This window comes from Homo sapiens, chromosome 5 (assembly GCF_000001405.40).
Source record: "Homo sapiens chromosome 5, GRCh38.p14 Primary Assembly".
NCBI lineage: Eukaryota > Metazoa > Chordata > Mammalia > Primates > Hominidae > Homo > Homo sapiens.
Genome location: NC_000005.10, coordinates 138,398,547 through 138,419,795, shown reverse-complemented (window position 1 = coordinate 138,419,795; position 21,249 = coordinate 138,398,547). Strand labels below are relative to the sequence as shown.

The following is a 21,249-nucleotide window of genomic DNA, read 5'->3' as shown; positions in this document are numbered from 1 at the left end:
GAAGTTGAAAGGTAGTCCCTCATATATATGTGTGTGTGTGTGTGTGTGTGTGTGTGTGTGTGTGTGTATGTGTGTGTATATATATGTGTGTGTGTATATATATATGTATATATATATATATATATATTTTTTTTTTTTTTTTTGAGACAGAGTCTTGCTGTTACCCAGGCTGGAGTGCAGTGGCATGATCTTGGCTCACTGCAGGCTGTGCCCCCCAGGTTCATGCCATTCTCCTGCCTCAGCCTCCCAAGTAGCTGGGACTACAGGCACCCGCCACCTCGCCCAGCTAATTTTTTTGTATTTTTAGTAGAGACGGGGTTTCACCATGTTAGCCAGGATGGTCTTGATCTCCTGACCTCGCGATCTGCCCGCCTTGCCTCCCAAAGTGCTGGGATTACACGCGTGAGCCACCACGCCAGGCCCCGGCAGTCCCTCATGTGATTAGCCAGAGAAAGTAAGTAGCATGTTTCATAAATGTGGATGGTAATGTGTGAGTTCAAAGAATCCTGGAAAAAACTCATGATTTCTACCATAGGCAGAGCAGAGGTTTGTGTGCATCTCACCTTTTGTTTCTTCTTTAGCCTTCTGAGTTGCTAAATCTGCCAACCAGTGCAGGGCGGAGGAGGGTGGGGCCGTGTCAGGGCAAGGAGGCCTGATGGCTTTCAGTTCACTATTGCTATTTGATGCCGAACTGTCTGTTTTCAGAGGCTCTTCAGATCTGATGTCAGTGCTGTCGGCTTTGGGAACATGGTCCGGCTCTGGAGTTGTTACTGGTGCCGGTCCTCCTCCACCAGAGAAGGTAGTTTCGTTTCCAGAAGAGGCACTAGGGTTTATGCTAGGAAGCTAAAATGCAGAAGGCCAACATAATTAGAGTGCTGTGCTTGGGTAGAAAAAAATACAACTAGTAATGGCTTCACATACTAAATAGGTCTGGGAAGAATAATCTGTCATGTAAACTGGCATTTCATACATTATTTAATTCAACATATATTTATTGAGTCCTACAACATGCCAGAAACCAGGCTAGCTTCTGTGGAAAGATCAGTGAACAAGGCTTGAAGTTTGTAATCTAAAATAGTTAGCATGCCTGACACAATTTCTGCAATGGTGAATTGGTAATTTAAATGACCTCGTAGTGCTGTTCTTAGGATTACATAAAATAGCATATGCAAAGGGCTTAGCATAGTTCTGACACAGATAAATGCTAAATAAATGTTTATTACTCTTACTGATTTTTCTAAATAATTTGCTTTATCTATTTACATACTCTATATAGTCAACTCTACTGAAAATATATCTCAAGAACCCTCAGCATTAATCCCTGTGCCTCTTATCATCAACGATGTGTTGTAGCAGTGTTGCCAGAAAGGCCATGGAATGTAAGCAGTTGGTTGTGCGTGTCTGAAGAGAAAACCAGGCCAGGTGCGGTGGCTCATGCCTCTAATCTCAGAATCTTGGGAGTCCAAGGTGGGTGGATCACTTGATGTCAGGAGTTTGAGACCAGCCTGAGCAACATGGTGAAACCCTGTCTCTACTACAAATAAAAAAATTACCCAGGTGTGGTGGCGCATGCCTGTAGTCCCAGAAACTTGGGAGGCTGAGGCATGAGAATCACTTGAACCTGGGAGGCAGAGGTTGCAGTGAGCCGAGATCATGCCACTGCACTCCAGTATGGGCAACAGAGCAAGACTCTGTCTGAAAAAAAAAAAAAAAAAAAAAACCAAAACCAAAACTGACAAAGCAATGTGAAAACCACTGCCTCTGAACCCAACTCAGTGAGCCAATCTTCATATTTCTGTCTTCTGCACCTGAGATGAATCCAGTGATAGGGACCATGTATCTTCTCAGATAAGACTCAAGAAGACCAGCAGTATTCTTAGCAACCTTTTCTATATTCTTTACCCATACAAAGACCCTGAGGTATGTATCTTGACAAGATGCTAAGAATCTCTTTGTGCTATCAGTCAACCATGAACTGGTTTAAAGATGAAGAGAAACTGTACCAATCAGGGGTAATTAAAATCCTTTGAGTAAAGTTATTTAAGCTCTCTCTAGAAAGGCTTCTCCATCTCCTGATTCCTCAGGAATCCTACAGTAGCCTGGCATAACAGAGTTGAAAAGGGGGCATTTCCTGGTACAAAAAAATTTAGGCTTCACTTAGTTATACCCACACACACCAGTTTACCTGTGACATCCCATTGGTGACGGCAGGTCTCAATACAGATTTGTTCTGTCGACTGATACAAGGGCAGTTTGCTTTAATTCCCCACTTGCCCCGGGCAGCATGTACCATGTCTCCAATATTGTAAAGAGCTGGGAAAAAAATGTAACAATAAAAATAACACCAGAATACTCATATATGCCACATATTGTGCTAAGAGTGTTCTTTACATTATCTCCCTCAATCCTTACCACATTTCAATAACGTAGCTGCTTTTACTTCAATTTTTGATGATCAAACTGAGGCTGAGAGAAGAAGTTAGGCCATTTGCTCAAGTACATAAAGCTGGTAAACGGGAGCACTAAGACTTTAGCCCAGGTATATCTACCCCTAAAGTTCTGTTACTTTTAAGCACTAAGCTACACCCCTTTCCCTCTTCTAGTAAACATTAACACGGTATCCTCCAGGAGAAACTCTAGGGGTAGATTCTCTAGTGTTCAAGAGTATAAATATTGGCCAGGTGTGGTGGCTCACGCCTCTAATCCCAGCACGTGGGAGGCCAAGGCGGAAGAATTGCTTTGAGGTCAGGAGTTTGAGGCCAACCTGGCCAACATGGTGAAACCCCATCTCTACTAAAAATACAAAAATTAGCTGGGCATGATGGTGCGTGCCTGTAATTCTAGCTACTTGGGAGGCTGAGGCACGAGAATCGCTTGATTCTAGGAGGTAGAGGTTGCAGTGAGCTGAGATTGTGCCACTGTACTCCAGCCTGGGCAACAGGGTGAGACTCCGTCCCAAAGAGTGTAAACATTTGGAATTGTATACTTTACTGTAAGTTATACCTTAAAAAAAAGGTAAAAACTAACAGATCAATGTAAACTTTATATGGCTAAATATTTATACTAAGAGCTGCAGGGAGCAGGCATCCTACCACTGCACTCAGGAAACCCTTTGGCTTAGAAGCAGTGGGGTATAAGGGATCCAGGGGATGCTCCAGCAAAGTTTTCTTTGGTTTTTTGTTATGTTTTTTTTTTTTTTTTTTTTTTGAGACAGAGTCTCACCGTATCGCCTAGGCTGTAGTGCAGTGGCATGATCTTGGCTCACTGCAACCTCTGCCTCCTAGGTTCAAGCAATTCTCCTGCCTCAGCCTCCCTAGTAGTTGGGATTACAGGCGCTTACCACCATGCCTGGCTAACTTTATATTTTTAGTAGAGGTGGGGTTTCACCATGTTGGCCAGGCTGGTCTCGAACTCCTGACCTCAAGTGATTCACCCGCCTCAACCTCCCAAAGTGCTGGGATTACAGGTGTGAGCCACCATGCCTGGCCTGTGGCAAAGCTTTCTTAAGTGGAGGATAATATAGGCAGTAGTTTGGCAGAGTCATCATCTTCAATGGATGTATGTTAATGGAAGTACAGAAGGTAGGCATACAGAACTTCTGGAAGAATCACTGAAGTAAACTGGGATTGTGACACAAACATAACCATTCATTCCTAATGCTGAGCAAGCTGTCTTCCTCATGGATTCAAGATATCTTATTATCTTCAGCTGGATTTATTTTATTTTTTAATTATATGAGATGGGGTCTTGCTATGTTGACCAGTCTGGTTTTGAACTCCTGGCTTCAACTGATCCTCCAATCTTGGCCTCCCAAAGTGCTGGGATTACAGGCATGAGCTACCACACCTGACCATTTTAGCTGTTTTACAAGCCTAAAACCAGAAGTCTTTCTGAAAGCCTAGGCACTGGCTTTTTCATTCTGGTCCAGCCAACCACAGGAATGGGAAATGATATCTGGAAACAAGACCAGGTCCTCTGATCAGAAATGGGGAGCAGAGTGTGCAGTGGCCACGTGCACACTAACACATATCTAAAGATCCAAATTTGGCTCAGCACGGTGGCTCACAGTTATACTCCCAGTACTTTGGGAGGCCGAGGTGGGAGGGTCATTTGAGGCCAGGAGTTCAAGACCAGCCTGTGCAACATATTGGGACTCCGTCTCTGAAAAAAAAAAAAATTTAAATTAAATAATAAGCCAGGTGTGGTGGTGCATGCCTGTAGTCCTAGCTACTTGGCAGGCCGAGGTGGGAGGATCACTGGAGGTCAGGAGTTCAAGGCTGCAGTAAGCTATGACCACACCACTGCACTCCAGCCTGGGTGACAGAGCAGACAGTCTCTTCAATAATAATACAGAAGTGTCTCTTCAATAATACAGAAGGGTCTCTTCAATAACAATAATAATAATGATAATAATAATAAAGATCCAAATTCTCAGAGAAATCTGATGATGCTTAAAAGAAAAAATGAGGCTAAATCATTTCAAAAAATTTTATGGTGTATGGCTATCTCAACTAAAAACATTTCTTCCACCAAATCTAAAAAAGGAATTTCCTTACCTGTGCCAGGAATAATTTGTGTGGGCATGAGATTCTCTGGTTCGTGGGACTGTCCCTTTGCACACTTCAACCAGGAGAAAACTTCTTCATCACCCATCTCTTCTGTCTCTGAAATAGAAATGATTTCACTTATTTTATAAGGGTCACAAAAATGGATCCTTCTCAGTGAATGGAGTTTCAGAACCCCAAAGGCCAATTTTCTCATGGCTGAAGGAGATAACAGCTAACTTAAAAAAACAAAAAGCCCCTGCTTTACTGAGATTTTATTTATTTATTTATTTTTGAGACAAGGTTTGGCTCTATCATCCATGCTGGAGTCTAGTGGCTTGATCATGGCTCACCGCAACCTCCGCCTCTCTGGCTCAAGCCATCCTCCCACCCTAGCCTGCAAAGTAGCTGGAACTACAGGAGTGCACCATCACCCCCAACTAATGTTTGTATTTTTTTGTAGAGATGGAGTTTCGCCATGTTGCCCAGGCTGGTCTCCAACTCCTGGGCTCAAGTTCCTGGGCCTGCCTTGGCTTCCCAAAGTGCTGGGATTACAGGTATGAGTCACTGTGCCCAACCTAAGGTATAATTTATAAAGAATAAATCCAGCAATTTAAAGTGTTTACTTCAGTGAGTTTAGAGAAACTGAATGAACAACTACCACAATCATGACATAGAACCTTTCTATTACATCTCCAAAAGTTCTCTCAGGCTCTTTGTAGTCAATTCTCTTCCCTCAAGCCCTGGCCATCAGTGATCAACTTTATAATACTAAAGTTTTGCTATTGGCTGGGCGCAGTGGCTCAAGCCTGTAATCCCAGCACTTTGGGAGGCCGAGGCGGGCGGATCATGACGTCAGGAGATCGAGACCATCCTGGCTAATACGGTGAAACCCTGTCTCTACTAAAAATACAAAAAATTAGCCAGGTGTGGTGGCGGTTGTCTGTGGTCCCAGCTACTCCGGAGGCTGAGGCAGGAGAATGGCGTGAACCCAGGAGGCGGAGCTTGCAGTGAGCTGAGACCACGCCACTGCACTCCAGCCTGGGCGACAGAGCGAGACTCCATCTCAAAAAAAAATAATAATAAGTTTTGCCTTTCAAAAATGTCATATAAAATGGAAGCATGTAGGATGCAGTCTTTGTGTTGGGTTTCTTTCACTTGGCATAATGCTTTTGAGTCATCTATATTGTTGTGTGTATTAGTAATTCATTCCTTTGTATAGCTGAGTAGTATTCCATGGCAGCAATGTATCATAACTTGTTTATCTATTCATCAGCTGGTGAACATTTGGACTGTTTCCAATTTTTGGCTATTATAAATAAAGCTGCTACACGGCTGGGTGCAGTGGCTTACACCTGTAATACCAACACTTTGGGAGGCTGAGGTGGGCTCAGGAACTTGAGCCCAGGAGCTTGAGACCAGCCTGGGCAACATGGTAAAAAAATTAAAAATTAGCCAAGCATGGTGATGTATGCTTGTGGTCCCAGTTACTTGGGTGGCTGAGGTAGGAGGATTGTTTGAGCCTGGGAGGCGGAGGCTGCAGTGAGCAGAGATCGCTCCACTGCACTCCAGCCTGGGCAACAGAAAGAGACCCTGTCTCAAAAACAAAAAAACAAAAAAATAAATAAAGCAGCTATAAACATTCATGTATAGGTCTTTCTGTGGAAATGTTTTTATTTCTCTTGTAAATACCTAGCAGTGCGATGCCAGGTCATATAGTTAATTTTAGCTTTATAACTTTGTAAGAAATGACCTTCTTGCTTTCCAAAGTGATGGTACCAATCTGCATTCCTACCAGCAATATTTAAGAGGTCTACTTCTACATCCTTGATAATACTTGATACTGTCCGGTTTTCTTTTTTTTTTTTTGAGATGGAGTCTCGCTTTGTCGCCCAGGCTGGAGTGCAGTGGTGTGATCTCGGCTCACTGCAACCTCTGCCTCCCCGGTTCAAGCAATTCTCCTGCCTCCGCCTCCCGAGTAGCTGAGACTACAAGTGCGTGCCACTATGCCCAACTAATTTTTTGTGTTTTTCATAGAGACAGGGGTTCAATGTTAGCTAGGATGGTCTCAATCTTCTGACCTTGTGATCCACCCGCGTCGGCCTCCCAAACTGCTGGGATTACAGGTATGAGCCAACATGCCTGGCCAATACTGTCAGTTTTAAGAATTGTAGCCATTCTAGTGGACATAATAATTTCTCATTATGGTTTTAATTTGTATTTCCCAAATTAATTACAATTTTTCCCATGTACTTACCTGCCATCGACTATATTTTTTGGTGACGTATCTGTTCAAACCTTTTTAAAACTAGCTTGGGCTGGCATGGTAGCTCACACCTGTAGCACTTTGGGAGGCCAATGTGGAAGAATCGCTTGAGCGTAAAAGTTAAAGACCAGGATGGGCAACACAGTGAGACCCCATTTCTACAAAACCAAACCAAAACAGAACAACAATAACAAAAAAATGGGCTTGTTTGCCCAGGCTGGTGTCAACCTCCTGCTGGACTCTAGTGATCCTTCTGTCTCAGCCTCCCAGGTAGCTGGGATTATAGGTGTTACACCACTGTGCACAGCAGCTTTTCATTTTCTCTTTTTTTGGAGACAGGGTCTCACTCTGTCACCCAGGCTGGAGTGTAATGGCACGATCGTGGCTCACTGCAGCCTCAACCTCCCAGGGTTAAATAATTCTCCCACCTCAGCCTCCTGAGTAGCTGGGACCACAGGTGAAAGCCACCACGTCTCGCTAATTTTTAAATTTTTTTTGTAGAGATGAGGTCTCCGTGTTGCCTAGGCTGGTCTTGAACTCCTGGGCTCAAGCAATCCCACTGCCTTGGCCTCCGTAACTGTTGGGATTACAGGTTATAAGCCACTGTGCCTGGGCTATTTTCATTTTCTTAAACATGTCTTTTTTTTTTGGAGACGGGGTCTCACTCTTTTGCCCAGGCTGGAGTGCAGTGGTGCAATTTCGGCTCACTGCAACCTCCGCTTCCTGGGTTCAAGCGATCCTCCTGCCTCAGCCTCCCAAGCAGCTGGGATTACAGGTGCCCGCCACCACGCCCAGCTAATTTTTGTATTTTTAGTAGAGACAGGGTTTCAACATGTTGGCCAGGCTGGTCTCGAACTCCTGACCTCAGGTGATCCACCTGCCTCAGCCTCCCAAAGTGCTGGGATTACAGGCATGAGCCACCGTGCCCAGCTTTTACGTGTCTTCTGAAAAGGTAAAGTTTTAAACTTTTATATTAGGCCGGACACAATGGCATGTGCCTGTAATCCCAGCACTTTGGGAGGTTGAGGCAGGTGGGTCACCTGAGATCAGGAGTTCGAGACCAGCCTGGCCAACATGGTGAAATGGTGAAATCCTTTCTCTACTAAAAATACAAAAAAATTGGCTGGGGGTGGTGGCGGGCACATGTAATCCTGGCTGCTCGGGAGGCTGAAGCAGGAGGATCGCTTGATCCTGGGAGGTGGAAGCTGCAGTGAGCTAAGATTGCACCACTGCACTCCAGCCTGGGTGACAGGACGAGACTTTGTCTCAGAAAAAAAAAAAAAATTAAAAGAATAAAAAATAAACTTTTATATTTTTCATTTGCATTGTGTTCTATCTAAGAAATATTTCTTTAGTGCAAGGATACAAATATTTTATTTCTTTCTAGAAGTTTTAGTTTTAGCTTTTATGTTTAGGCCTATGGTCCACTTAGAGTTAGTATTTTGTATATGGTGGGAGGTAAAGACAGAGGTTTGTGGGCGGCAAGCCACCCAGGCGCCGAGGCAAGAGACCAAGGACACGAGCTGTTCCAGTATAATAAATATAAAACAAGAATAGTTATACCAGATATAGATCTTAGATATGATTATATATGAATATCATTAATCATTAGTTGGTAGTAATTATTCTTTATCCCAATATTATAATAATCCTCGCTCTATAATCATAACCTAGGAAAAACCAGGCCATACAGAGATAGGAGCTGAGGGGACATAGTGAGGTATGACTAGAAGACAAGAGTGTGAGCCTTCTGTTATGCCCGGACAGGGCCACCAGAGGGCTCCTTGGTCTAGCGGTGACGCCAGCATTTGGGAAGACGCCCGTTGCCAGGTGGACCGTGGTCTAGCAGTAGCGAAAAGTGTCAAGGAACAACACCCGCTACTTAGCAGACCAGGAAAGGGAGTCTCCTTTTCCCTGGGGGAGTTTAGAGAAGACTCTGCTCCTCCACCTCTTGTGGAGGGCCTGACATCAGTCAGGCTTGCCCGCAGTTATCCGGAGGCCTAACCGTCTCCCTGTGATGCTGTGCTTCAGTGGTCACACTCCTAGTCCGCCTTCATGTTCCATCCTGTACACCTGGCTCTGCCTTCTAGATAGCAGTAGAAAATTAGTGAAAGTACTAAAAGTCTCTGATATGCAGAAATAATGGCGTAAGCTGTCTTTCTCTTTGTCTCCTCTCTCTCTCTGCCTCGGCTGCCAGGCAGGGAAGGGCCCCCTGTCCAGTGGACATGTGACCCACGTGACCTTACCTATCATTGGAGATGACTCACACTCTTTACCCTGCCCCTTTTGCTTTGTATCCAATAAATAACAGCACAGCCAGACATTCGGGGCCACTACTGGTCTCCGTGCATTGGTGGTAGTGGTCCCCCGGGCCCAGCTGTCTTTTCTTCTATCTCTGTCTTGTGTCTTTATTTCTACACTCTCTTGTCGCCGCACACGGGGAGAGACCCACTGACCCTGTGGGGCTGGTCCCTCCAGAGGTTCCTCTTTTTTTTTTGGAATATGGATATACAATTGTTCCAGTACCATTTGTTGAAAGGGTTATCCTTTCCCCCACTGAACTACCTTGGCACCTTTGTCGTAATTGATTATGTATGTGTGGGTTTACTTCTAGATTGTTTTCTGTTCCCTTACCACAGTGTCTTAATTACTGTAGCTTTAATATTAATTCTTGAAATGTAGTACAAGTCCTTCAACTTGACTCTATTTCAAAATTGTTTTGGGTATTCTAGATCCACTGTATTTCACATACATTTCAGAACCGCCTTGTCAATTTCTACAAAATGGCCTACTGAGACTTTGATTTGGAATTGCATTTAATTACATATCAATTTAGAAGAAGTGACGTCTTAGTATTCAACCCTCTATTTTTCTTTTCTTTTCTTTTCTTTTTTTCTTTTAAGAAGGAGTTTCGCTCATTGCCCAGGCTAGAGTGCAATGGCACGATCTCAGCTCACTGCAACCTCTGCCTCCCAGGTTCAAGCAATTCTCCTGCCTCAGCCTCCCGAGAAGCTGGGATTACAGGCATGTGCCACCATGCCTGGCTAATTTTGTATTTTTAGTAGAGACAGGGTTTCTCCATGTTGGTCAGGCTGGTCTCGAACTCCCAACCTCAGGTGATCTGCCTGCCTCGGCCTCCCGAAGCGCTAGGATTACAGGCGTGAGTTAGCCACGGCGCTCGGCCTATTTTTCATTATTGTTATTTTTTCTTTATCTTTTAACAATTTTTTTGTAGAGATGGGATCTTGCTGTGTTGCCCAGGCTGGTCTCAAACTCCTGGCCTCAAGTGATTCTCCCACTTCAGTTTCCCAAAGTGCTAGGATTACAGACATGAGCCACCACACGCAGCCCATATTCAATCTTTGGATCCACAAATATGGTATATCTCTTCATTTATTTAGGTATTCTTTAATTTCTCTCAGTAATATGTTGTAGTCTTCAGTGTATGTGTCTTGTAGGTATTGGCTAAATTTGTCCCTAAGCACTTCATGATTTTATGATGCTCGGCTCACTGAAGCTTCTGCCTCCCAGGTTCAAGGAATTCTCCTGCTTCAACCTCCCATTACATTTCAATTTCTAATTGTTCATTGCTATCATACAGAAAAATAATTGATCTTTGTATGTTGACTTTGTATCATGTAATATTGAAAAAACTCATTATAATATTAGCTTTTTTGTAGATCTCTGGATTTCTACATAGATGATCATGTTGTCTGAGAATAAAAATCATTTTACTTCTTTCCAATCTGTATGTCTCTTCTTTTGTTTTCCTTTTCCCCTTTTTCCCTTTTATTTCTTCATACTGACCACTAACTCCAGTAAAATACTGAATAGAAGTTACAAAAGCTGACATCCTTGCTTTGTTCCTGAACCTAAGAGGAAGAAGTCAATCTTTCATATTATATGATATTCTACTTATACATAGTTGTGTTTTTCAAACATTATTTCATTATCATTCTCCAAAGAGCCTTTTCAGACTTTGTTTTGTGGTCATTGTGCTCTCCACCCAAGAAATTTTAATACCAGATATACTGTATATCTGTTTATGTATTATGGCCCCCTGAAAGGGCACAAAAAATTGTTAACATTTTAGATTCTCCCTCCCAAGCAAGAGCCAATTTTCACCTGATGAGAATGCATAGCCTAGGTTTTTGATAATTTAGACAAATGATTTTTCTGCTATATCTTGAGATCATGTGGTTATTTTTTAGTCTACTAATATAGTGGACTGCACTGATTTTCAAGTGAACCCCATTTGTTCATGATGTATTATTCTTTTTATATATCTCTTGACTTAAACTTGCTTAAGTTTTATAGAATATTTTTACATCTATGTTCATGATGGATACTGGGGCTGTAACTTTCTATGCTTCTCATGTCTTTATTTGGTTTTGATATTAGTATAATGCTGGCTTCATAAAACGAGCTGGTAAGTGCTTCCTCCCATTTTCTGAAAGACTGTGTGTATAATTGGTATTATTTCCTCCTTAAATGTTTGCTATAATTTACTAGTAAGGCCACCATCTAGACCTTAAGTTTTCTTTGTTGAAAGATTTTTGAAACTACAAATTCAATTTCTTTCTTTTTTTTTTTTTTAAGGAGTGTAGGAGCAAAGGTTTAATAGGAAAAAAAGAAAAAAAAAAGAAAGAAAGAGAAAGTAAAACAGCTCTCTCTCGTGAGAGAGGGGACTCCCAGACCAGTTGGTGGCAGATGTGCTGGATTTTACTCAGGCTTGAGGCGGCGGCGTCTGATTTACATAGGGATTACAGATTGGTTCAATCAGGTATGATGTTTACATAGCTTTAGGGGAAGGCTGGCTACCCCACCCTAATGTTATTATGCAAATGAACTTTCCCCTTGGCTGGTGCCATCTTGTCTGCTCCTTACTGTACATATGGTTGACAAAGCGAAGGGAAGATGAAGCTCCCATCTTGAACATGATTTCATAACTGCTAACATCTATGTCTGCAACTGAATTTTACAGGCTGCTCTTTGTTAGAAAGAAAATAATTTGGGGCTGCTTTTCATTAAATGGAAAACCTTACCAAGGACTTCTGTACCCTCAGTATCCACCTAAGTAATTTCTTCTTAACACCTGTATCATTCCCCGCTCTGGAGTGGTAACCCTAACTACTATTAGGGGCTGTTGGACGAGGACTCTTTCTGGCTACTTCCTGCTGAAAAGAGGTGTTGTGTGGGGAACAGCAGGTAGGGCTCCTCCTGGGGCCGATCTAAGAGTCCTCGGAAGAAAGGCACGTCCATGTGTGGTTCTGTCTGCAGCACCATTTGGAGTTTGATTGCTGTTAGCCATTCCGATGGGTTGTAACACTGGTTTGCCTCCACCAGATGTTGCGTTTTGATGAATGCTGTACCTTGATATCTGGGACGAGGTCCCCAGTATGAAGCAGCTACGTTGTCTGGGGTAAATACCTGAGGTTCATCATCTCGTGCCAGGAAAATTTTGGACACGGACACACATGAGGAATTTAGGAGTGGAGGTTTAACAGGCAAAAGAGAGAAAGATAAAGAAAGGAAATCAGCTCTCTCTCTAGTGAGAGAGAGGGGGCTTCCAAGAGGAAAAGACCAAGTTCTTAATGTAAAGTTATTTAGGTTCTCTATTTGTTCTCGAGGGAATTTTGATGGTTTGTGTTTTTCATGGAATTTGTCCATTATATCTAAGCTGTAAAAGTTATTGGCATAGGCTGGGCGTGGTGGCTCACACCTGTAATCCCAGCACTTTGGGAGGCTGAGGCAGGCAGGTCACCTGAGGTCAGGAGTTCGAAACCTGCCTGACCAACATGCCAAAACCCCGTCTCTACTAAAAATACAGAAATTAGCTAGGTTTGGTGGCACACACCTATAATCCCAGCCACTTGGGAGGCTGGGGCAGGAGAATCGCTTGAACCCGGGAGATGGAGGTTGCAGTGGGCTGAGATCGTGCCACTGCACTCCAGCCCGGGCGACAGAGATAGACGCTGTCTCAAAAAAAAAAAAAAAAAAAAAATTATTGGCATAATAATGTTCATAATTTTACTTATCCTTTTAATGTCTAAAAGATCTGCATTGAGGTCCTCACATTCTTTTTTTTTATTATTAAAGAGATAGGGTCTCACTATGTTCCCCTGCTGGTCTCAAACTCCTGGATTCAAGTGATCCTCCCACCTAAGATTCTCAAATAGATGAGAGTATAGGCACACGCCACTGTGCCTACATCTCTCATTCTCTCATTGGTAAACTGTACCTTCTCTTTTTCATCATGTAGGCAGAAGATTAGCACATATAAAATATCTTTTTCTCATTTATACTCTTTTAAAAAGTTAATTGTTTAACTTTTCTTTTTTTTTATTGAGACAGAGTTTCACTCTTGTTGCCTAGGCTAGAGTGCAATGTCGCGACCTCAGCTCACTGCAACCTCCACCTAAGTGATTCTCCTGCCTCAGCCTCCTGAGTAGCTAGGTCTACAGGTGCCTGCCACCATGCTCAGCTAATTTTGTTTGTATTTTTAGTAGAGACAGGGTTTCACCGTGTTGGCCAGGCTGGTCTCGAACTCCTGACCTCAGGTGATCCACCTGCCTCAGCCTCCCAAAGTGCTGGGATTACAGGCGTGAGCCACTGTGCCTGACCTTAACTTTTCTTTTTTTGAGACAGGGTTGCACTATGTCACCCAGGCTGGAATGCAGTGGTGCAATCATGGCTCACTACAGCCTCACCCTTCTGGGCTCAGGTGATCCTCTCCCATCAGCCTCTGAGTAGGTGGGACCACAGGTGTGTGCCACCACGCCCAGCTAATTTTTAAATTTTTTGTAGAGATGGGAGTCTTGCTATGTTGCCCAGGCTGGTCTTGAACTCCTGGCCTCAAGTAATCCCCATCTTGACTTCTCAAAGTGTTGGGATTGCAAGTGTGAGCCACCAAACCTAGCCAGTCCCATTTCTTTTTGGTTTCATTTTTCCTGCCTTCTTTTGAACTACTTACATATTTTTTGTGATTTGATTTTGTTTCCCATTTTGGACTTACTAGCTATATTTCTTTGTTTTTAAGTGGTTGCTGTAGCATTTTCAGTATTAATCTTCAACTTATCAAAGTCTATCTTCAAATATTAATCTCACTTTACATAAAGTGTAAGATCCTTACAAAACTATACTTCCAGTTTTCCCTCTTTTCCTCTGTGCTGCTATTATATATTTGAATTTTACATATAGTATAAACCCCAAAATATATTGTTACTATTTTTGCTTTTAAACAATTAACTTTTAAAAAGATTATAAACGAGAAAAAGAGATCTTTTATATTTACTCATATATACCATGTAGGATGTTCTTCATTACTTTGTGTAAGTTCTGATTTCCATTTCATTTTCTTCTGCCTGAATAACTACCTTTAACTTTATTATCGTGTGGATCTGCTGGTGGTGCATTCTATCAGCTTTTCTTGGTTTGAGAAAAGCTGCTAGAATGGTCACTCGTTTTTTTTTTCTTTTGTAAGACAGAGTCTTACTCTGTTGCCTATGCTAGAGTGCAGTGAAGTGATGATGGCTCCCTGCGGCCTCAACCTCTCAGCTCAAGTGATCCTCCCACCTCAACCTCCCAAGTAGCTGCGACCACAGGCATGTGTCACCATGCCTGGCTACTTTTAAAAAATATTTGTGGCGGGGCATGGTGGCTCATGCCTGTAATCCCAGCACTTTGGGAGGCTGGGGCGGGTGGATCACGAGATCAGGAGTTCAAGACCAGCCTGCCAACACAGTGAAACCCCATCTCTACTAAAAGTACAAAAATTAGCCAGGCGTGGTGGCAGGAACCTGTAATCCCAGCTACTTGGGAGGCTGAGGCAGGAGAATCACTTGAACCTGGGAGACAGAGGTTGCAGTGAGCCAAGATCGCACCACCGCACTCCAGCCTGGTCGACAGTACGACACTCTGTCTCAAAAAAAAAAAAAAATTTGTAGGCTGGGCACGGTGGCTCACGCCTGTAATCCCAGCACTTTGGGAGGCTGAGATGGGCAGATCACCTGAGGTCAGGAGTTTGAGACCAGCCTGATTAATTAACATGGCGAAACACTGTCTCTACTAAAAATATAAAAAACCCCACAAAAATTAGCAGGGCATGGTGGCACATGCCTGTAATCCCAGCTACTTGAAGGGGCTGAGGCAGGAGAATAGCTTGAACTCGGGAAGATGAGGTTGTAGTGAGCAGAGATCACACCCCTGCACTTCAGCCTGGGAGACAGTCAGACTCCATCTCAAGAAAAAAAAGAAAAAACAAAACAAAACAAAAAAGTTCATTCCATTGTTTTCTGTTGTCTTCTGGCCTACAGGACTTCTCATAAATTGGCTGTCATTCTTTTGTTTTTTTTTTTTTAGATGGAGTTTTGCTCTTGCTGCCCAGGCTGAAGTGCAATGGCATGACCTCGGCTCACCACAACCTTGGCTTCCCAGGTTCAAGTGATTCTCCTGCCTCAGCCTCCCAAGTAGCTGGGACCACAGGCATGTGCCACCACACCCGGCTAATTTTGTATTTTTAGTAGAGACAGGATTTCACCATGTTGGCCAGGTTGGTCTCGAACTCCCGACCTCAGGTGATCCCGCCCACCTTGGCCTCCCAAAGTGCTGGGATTACAGGCATGAGCCATGGCGCCCGGCCAGCCTGTCATTCTTATCTTTGTTACTCTACACAAAATGTGCTTTGGTGTGGTTTTCTTAATGTTTCTACTGTTTGGAGTTTGTTAATTTTGTGTTTACATAATTTTCACCAAATCTGGAAATTTTTTGGTTTTATTTAAATATTTTTTCTGCCTCTGCTCTCCCACTTTTTCTGAAACTCTACTTGTATGTTTGGTAGACTACCTGATATTTCCTGCAGCTCTACAAGGCATTTTTCAATTAATAAATGTAGGTCATTTTTCTCTGCTTTGTTTTAGATAGCTTCTTTTGTCAATGTCTGCAAGTTTAGTCTTTTTTTTTTCTTCTACATTATCTAATCTGCTGTTAATCTCATCTGGTGTAAATACCTGAGATATTTTTCATCTCTGGAAGTTTTCATTTGGGCTTTTATATATCTTCTTTTTCTCTCCTCATCACATCATGTATTTCTTTAAATCCTTAATCATATTTATAAGATGTATAGTAGCTACATTAAAGTTCTTTTTTTTTTTTTTGGTTGAGATGGGGTCTTGCTATATTGCCTAGGCTGGAATTGAACTCCTCGGCTTAAGTGATCCTCCTGCCTCAGCCTCCCAAAGTGCTGGGATTGCAGGTGTGAGCCATCATACCTGGCTTAAGGTTCTTTTCTATTCTTTTTTTTTTTTTTTGAGACAGAGTTTCGCTCTTGTTGCCCAGGCTGGAGTGCAATGGCACGATCTTGGCTCACTGCAAGCTCTGCCTCCCGGGTTCAAGTGATTCTCCTGCCTCAGCTTCCCGAGTAGCTGGGATTACAGGCACCCGCCACCATGCCTGGCTAATTTTTTCTATTTTTCATGCAGACGGGGTTTCAACATGTTGGCCAGGCTGGTCTCAAACTCCTGACCTCAGGCAGTCCACCTGCCTGGGCCTCCCAAAGTGCTGAGATTACAGGCATGAGCCACTGTGCCAGGCTGGTTCTTTTCTATTCTATTATCACCGTCATTCTGGGGTTTTTTCCTATTGATTGATTATCCCTCCTCAGCTTACTGGTCATGTAAGTTGGTATTTTTGCACACTCGATAATTACTGATTAAATGCAAGGTTGTGACTTTTCTGGGTAGTGGGTTTTGTTTGAAGGGTGCTCCTTTAAATATTCCTTTAAAGGGTATTTGGTGTTAGTGTGGTGCACAATTATGTAACTTGCTAATCAGTTTGCTTCTTCCAAGGCTTGCTTTATACTTTGTTATGGAAGCTCCAGAATAGTTTTTATTCTGAGACTAAATTAGTCCCACTACTCTTCACACTGGCTGGTGGGAATACAAATCATGAATTTTGTGAATTATTCAGTCAATTGCTTTCTGAAGGTTCCATCTTGGGCTTTGAGGAACTTCATCTCATTCATGCACAGATTACTATATATACAAAAAACCAAGGGGCTGTCTCTGTAGAGAGTTCCAGCCTTTTCAGCACTTTGCCTTACTCTTCTCAGACTGTCATCTCTGTCTCTAGTCAGTAAGGTTGCCAGTTTCAGTTTTGGTTCTCTTTCCCTTGCTGTAGCCTAGAAACTGTGCCTAAGCAGTAAGCCAGGGCAACTGTAGGGATCACCTTGGTTTTTTCCCTTCTCTTAGAGATAACAGTCCCATGTTGCCTGTTGTTCAATGTCAAAAACTGTGGTTTCATATATTTTATCTAGTTTTCTCATTGTTTATGGCAGGAGGGCAATTCCTGTGACAGTTAATCTTTCATGGGCAGGTGCAGAATACTCTAGCAGCTAACATTTATGGAATACCTGGTGGGTGTCAGGTCCTATTCTAACCATGTTACATACAACATCTCATTCAAAACAACAAAGTTGTGAGGGAAGTACTGATATCTTTGTTTTACAGACAAGAAAACTGAGGCTCTGCAGGATTAAGTAACTAGCCCAAGATACAATAGTTGGTACAATAAGAGGTAGAAATAGGTGCCACATCACAGTAGCCTAAACTCTAAACCACTGTACAATGGTTATATTATACCTCCGAAGAGGGAAGAATGAAAAAGTCAAGGGGCAAGGAGGGTTTCTGGCACGTAATAAGATAAAGGAAGAACCAAAGGCAGCAAATAATTTGAATAGACATTTTTCCTAAGAAAATAAACAAATGGCTGGGCACAGTGATTCACACCTATAATTCCAGCAGTTTGGGAGGCCAAGGCAGGAGGATCACTTGAGCCTGGGAATTAGCAACCAGACTGGGCAATGTAGCGAGACTCCATCTCTACCAAAAAAAATTAGCTGGGCACGGTAGCACATGCCTGCAGTCCCAGCTATGCAGGAGGCTTAGGTGGGAGAACTGCTTGGGCCCAGGCGGTTGAGGCTGCAATGAGCCATGATGATGCCACTGCACTCCAGCCTGAGTGACAAAGCGAGACCCTTTCTTAAAAACAACAACAAAAAAAAAAGAAAGAAAAAAGAAAAGTTAAAAAAAAGCACATGGAAAGATACTCAACATCGTTAGTCACCAGGGGAAAGCAAATCAAAACGACACAATCAGATACTACGTCACAGCCACTGTGATGGCTATAACAAAAAAGACAAAGGACAAGTGTTGGCAAGAATGTGGAAAATTCCCTCATACATTACTGGTGGGATTGTAACATAGTGCAGCTACTTTAGAATATAGTCTGGCAGTTCCTCAAAAGGTTAAAAGTAGAATTGTCATATGCCCTAGCCAATTCCACTCCTACATGTATATATATACTCAAGAGAAATGCAACCATACGTTCACACAAAAAAACTGTACACAAATGTTCACAGTAGCACTATTCATAATAGCCAAATGCGGAGGCAACCCAAAAGTCCATCAACTGGTGAATAAACAAAATGAAGTATATCCAAAAAAGGAGTATTATTTGGCAATGCAAAGGAATGAATGGTTCACATGTGCTAAAACACAGATGAAACTTTAAAACATTACACTAAGTGAAAAGGGCTAGTCACAGAAGGCATAACAAAGTGTAAAGCAAGCCTTGGAAGAATCAAACTGTTTAGCAAGTTACTTAGCTATGCACTAGACTAGACACAATAGTGTATGTTTTGGTTTTTTTTTTTTTTTTGAGATGAAGTCTTGCTCTGTTGCCCAGGTTGGAGTACAGTGGCGTGATCTCAGCTCACTGCAACCTCCGTCTCCCGGGTTCAAGCGATTCTCCTGCCTCAGCCTCTTGAGTAGCTGGGATTACAGGTATGCGCCACCATGCCCGGCTAATTTTTGTATTTTTAGTAGAGACAGGGTTTCACCATATTGGCCAGGCTGGTCTCGAACTCCTGACCTTGTGATCTGCCCGCCTTGGCCTCCCAAAGTGCTGGGATTACAGGCGTGAGCCATGGCGCCTGGCTGATTCTATTTTTATGACATGTCCAGAATAGGCAAATCTACAGAGACAAAAAGCAGACTACTTGTTAAACTAGCATTAGTCTCAAAAAAAAAAAAGAGAAAAAAGTGGACTAGTGGATGCCAAGGGCTGAGGAGGAATCGGCAGTGACTGATAACAGGTATGGGTTGTCAGGTGGGGTGTGGGGTGATGAAAATGGAATTAGATAATGGCTGTACAACCTTGTAGATTTACTTTAATTGATTTTTAGACAGGTCTCACTCTGTTGTCCAGGCTGGAGTGCAGTGGTATGATCATAGCTCACTATAACCTCAAACTCTGAGCTCAGGTGATCCTCCTGCCTCAGCCTCCTGAGTAGCTGTGACTACAAGCATGTGCCACCATATCTAGCTAGCTAATTTTATTTTATTTTGTAGAGATGGGGTCTTGCTGTGTTACCCAGACTGGTCTCAAACCCCCGGCCTCAAGTGATCCTCCTATCTTCCTCTCAAAGTCCTGGAATTACAGGCATGAGCCACCACGCTAAGCCTTGTACACATTAAAAGGGGTGAATTTTATGGCATGTGAATTACATCTCAATAAAGATGTTATTTAAAAAAAAACACAGGTACGGTGGCTCATGCCTATGATTCCCAGCACTCTGAGAGGTCGAGGAGGATCACTTGAGCCTAGGTCAAGGGTGCAGTAAGCCATGATTGTGCCGCTGCGCTCCAACCTGGGCAACAGAGCGAGAATCTGCCTTAAAAAAAACAAAAACAAAAAAAAAACCAAGGAAAAATTAAGAATAATCCTTCTTGTCTTGTTTCAGCCTTCCTAGGCTAAATATTTGCCATTTTAAGGTCTTAAAATACAACAAAGTTGAATGAAGCCAAGCAGCTAAAGAGAGGCATAAGCCCATTCCTGCCTCAATTTTCAAATCCCACAACATCTTGGACATACCTCCACGTTACCTTTCGAGCTACACAGGACAATGTTTACTTACCACTGCGTGGCCGGCTTTTCCTGAGCCGGTAACAGTCAAGGCAGACCCCAAATCCACATTTGCGACAAACCCAGTGGATGTTGAAGAGAGTTGTTTCACACACATCACACATCTCCCGTACACCACGCACAGCTCGCTTCCATGCCACTTTCTCTGGTGGAAAGAGGAAACAGAATTGGCATTGATCATCCTGACCAATAACAAAAGACCCCAGACCCACTGATCCCTACTCAAGCTATTTTGTTCAGCAATAAAACTCAAAGATTCATAAAGTCTGTGTTTCTATAATTGTAGGAGAAACAAAATACAATAATTTCTAGTATTTCTGAACAAAGAGACTATATAACTTATTTATAATATAATGGTATTTCAAGGGCTCATGGTAATACCAGGATATAACCTATTGTCAAAAAGGAATTACTGCCACATGTTGTCACTTAAGGAATTGTAAAAAAATATATATATATATTTTTTTGAGATGGGGTCTCGCTTTGTCATCCAGGCTGGAGTGCAGTGGCGCGATCTTGGCTCACTGCAAGCTCCGCCTCCCGGGTTCATACCATTCACCTGCCTCAGCCTCCCGAGTAGCTGGGATTACAGGCACCCGCCACCAAGCCCAGCTAATTTTTGTATTTTTAGTAGAGATGGGGTTTCACCATATTGGCCAGGCTGGTCTTGAACTCCTGACCTCGTGATCTGCCTGCCTCTGCCTCCCAAAGTGCTGGGATTACAGGCATGAGCCACTGTGCCCAGCCGGAATTGAAAAATTTTTAACTGGGGGAGTTTAAAAATAAGAGGATTCCTCCCTTGAAATTTAGGATACAGGGCCGGGCGCGGTGGCTCACACATGTAACCCCAGCACTTTGGAAGGCTGAGGCGGGCAGATCACGAGGTCAGGAGATCGAGACCATCCTGGCTAACACGGCGAAACGCTGTCCCTACTAAAAACACAAAAAATTAGCCGGGCTTGGTGGTGGGCGCCTGTAGTCCCAGCTACTCAGGAGGGTGAGGCAGGAGAATGGTGTGAACCTGGGAGGTGGAGGTTGCAGTGAGCCGAGATTGTGCCACTGCACTCCAGCCTGGGCGACAGAGCGAGACTCCGTCTCAAAAAAAAAAAAAAAAAAAGAAATTTAGGATATAATTTCACAGTATAATTTTTCTTAGTCTGGAAAATAGGGCATAGTATCTTACAGACATGGAAATATTTGAAATGTATGAATAATGTGGGTTCTAGGTATGAAACATGGCACCTAGTAGCACACCATCTATTTACAAACCACAGAGCTTATTAATACAAATTGGTTCAAAGCAAACTGAAAATATTCAGAGTGAGGCAAACCCAAATGGGAATTTAAATGGATGTTATGGCTGCTGTGCTACAAAAACAAAGGCAAGCAGAGAAGGAGTATTTGGTTTGTTAATTGCCAAAGACTGAAAGAATGAGGTCTGCTGGATATAGTTAAGGT

At 43.0% G+C, this 21,249-nt stretch overlaps 1 protein-coding gene across 6 annotated transcripts in view; it reads right to left on the bottom strand.

Annotated features, from left to right (window-relative positions):
* KDM3B (lysine demethylase 3B) overlaps positions 1 to 21,249 on the bottom strand; it is an 84,343-nt gene that overhangs the window by 17,232 nt on the left and 45,862 nt on the right. For all 6 annotated transcript variants that reach the window (XM_047417313.1, NM_016604.4, XM_005272018.5 and 3 more), the window contains 4 exons: positions 19,784 to 19,936; positions 4,557 to 4,664; positions 2,186 to 2,313; positions 564 to 843 (listed from right to left, as the gene is read on the bottom strand). In XM_047417313.1, the coding sequence (XP_047273269.1) occupies positions 564 to 843; positions 2,186 to 2,313; positions 4,557 to 4,664; positions 19,784 to 19,936 (669 nt within the window). The remainder of the gene's footprint in view (positions 1 to 563; positions 844 to 2,185; positions 2,314 to 4,556; positions 4,665 to 19,783; positions 19,937 to 21,249) is intronic.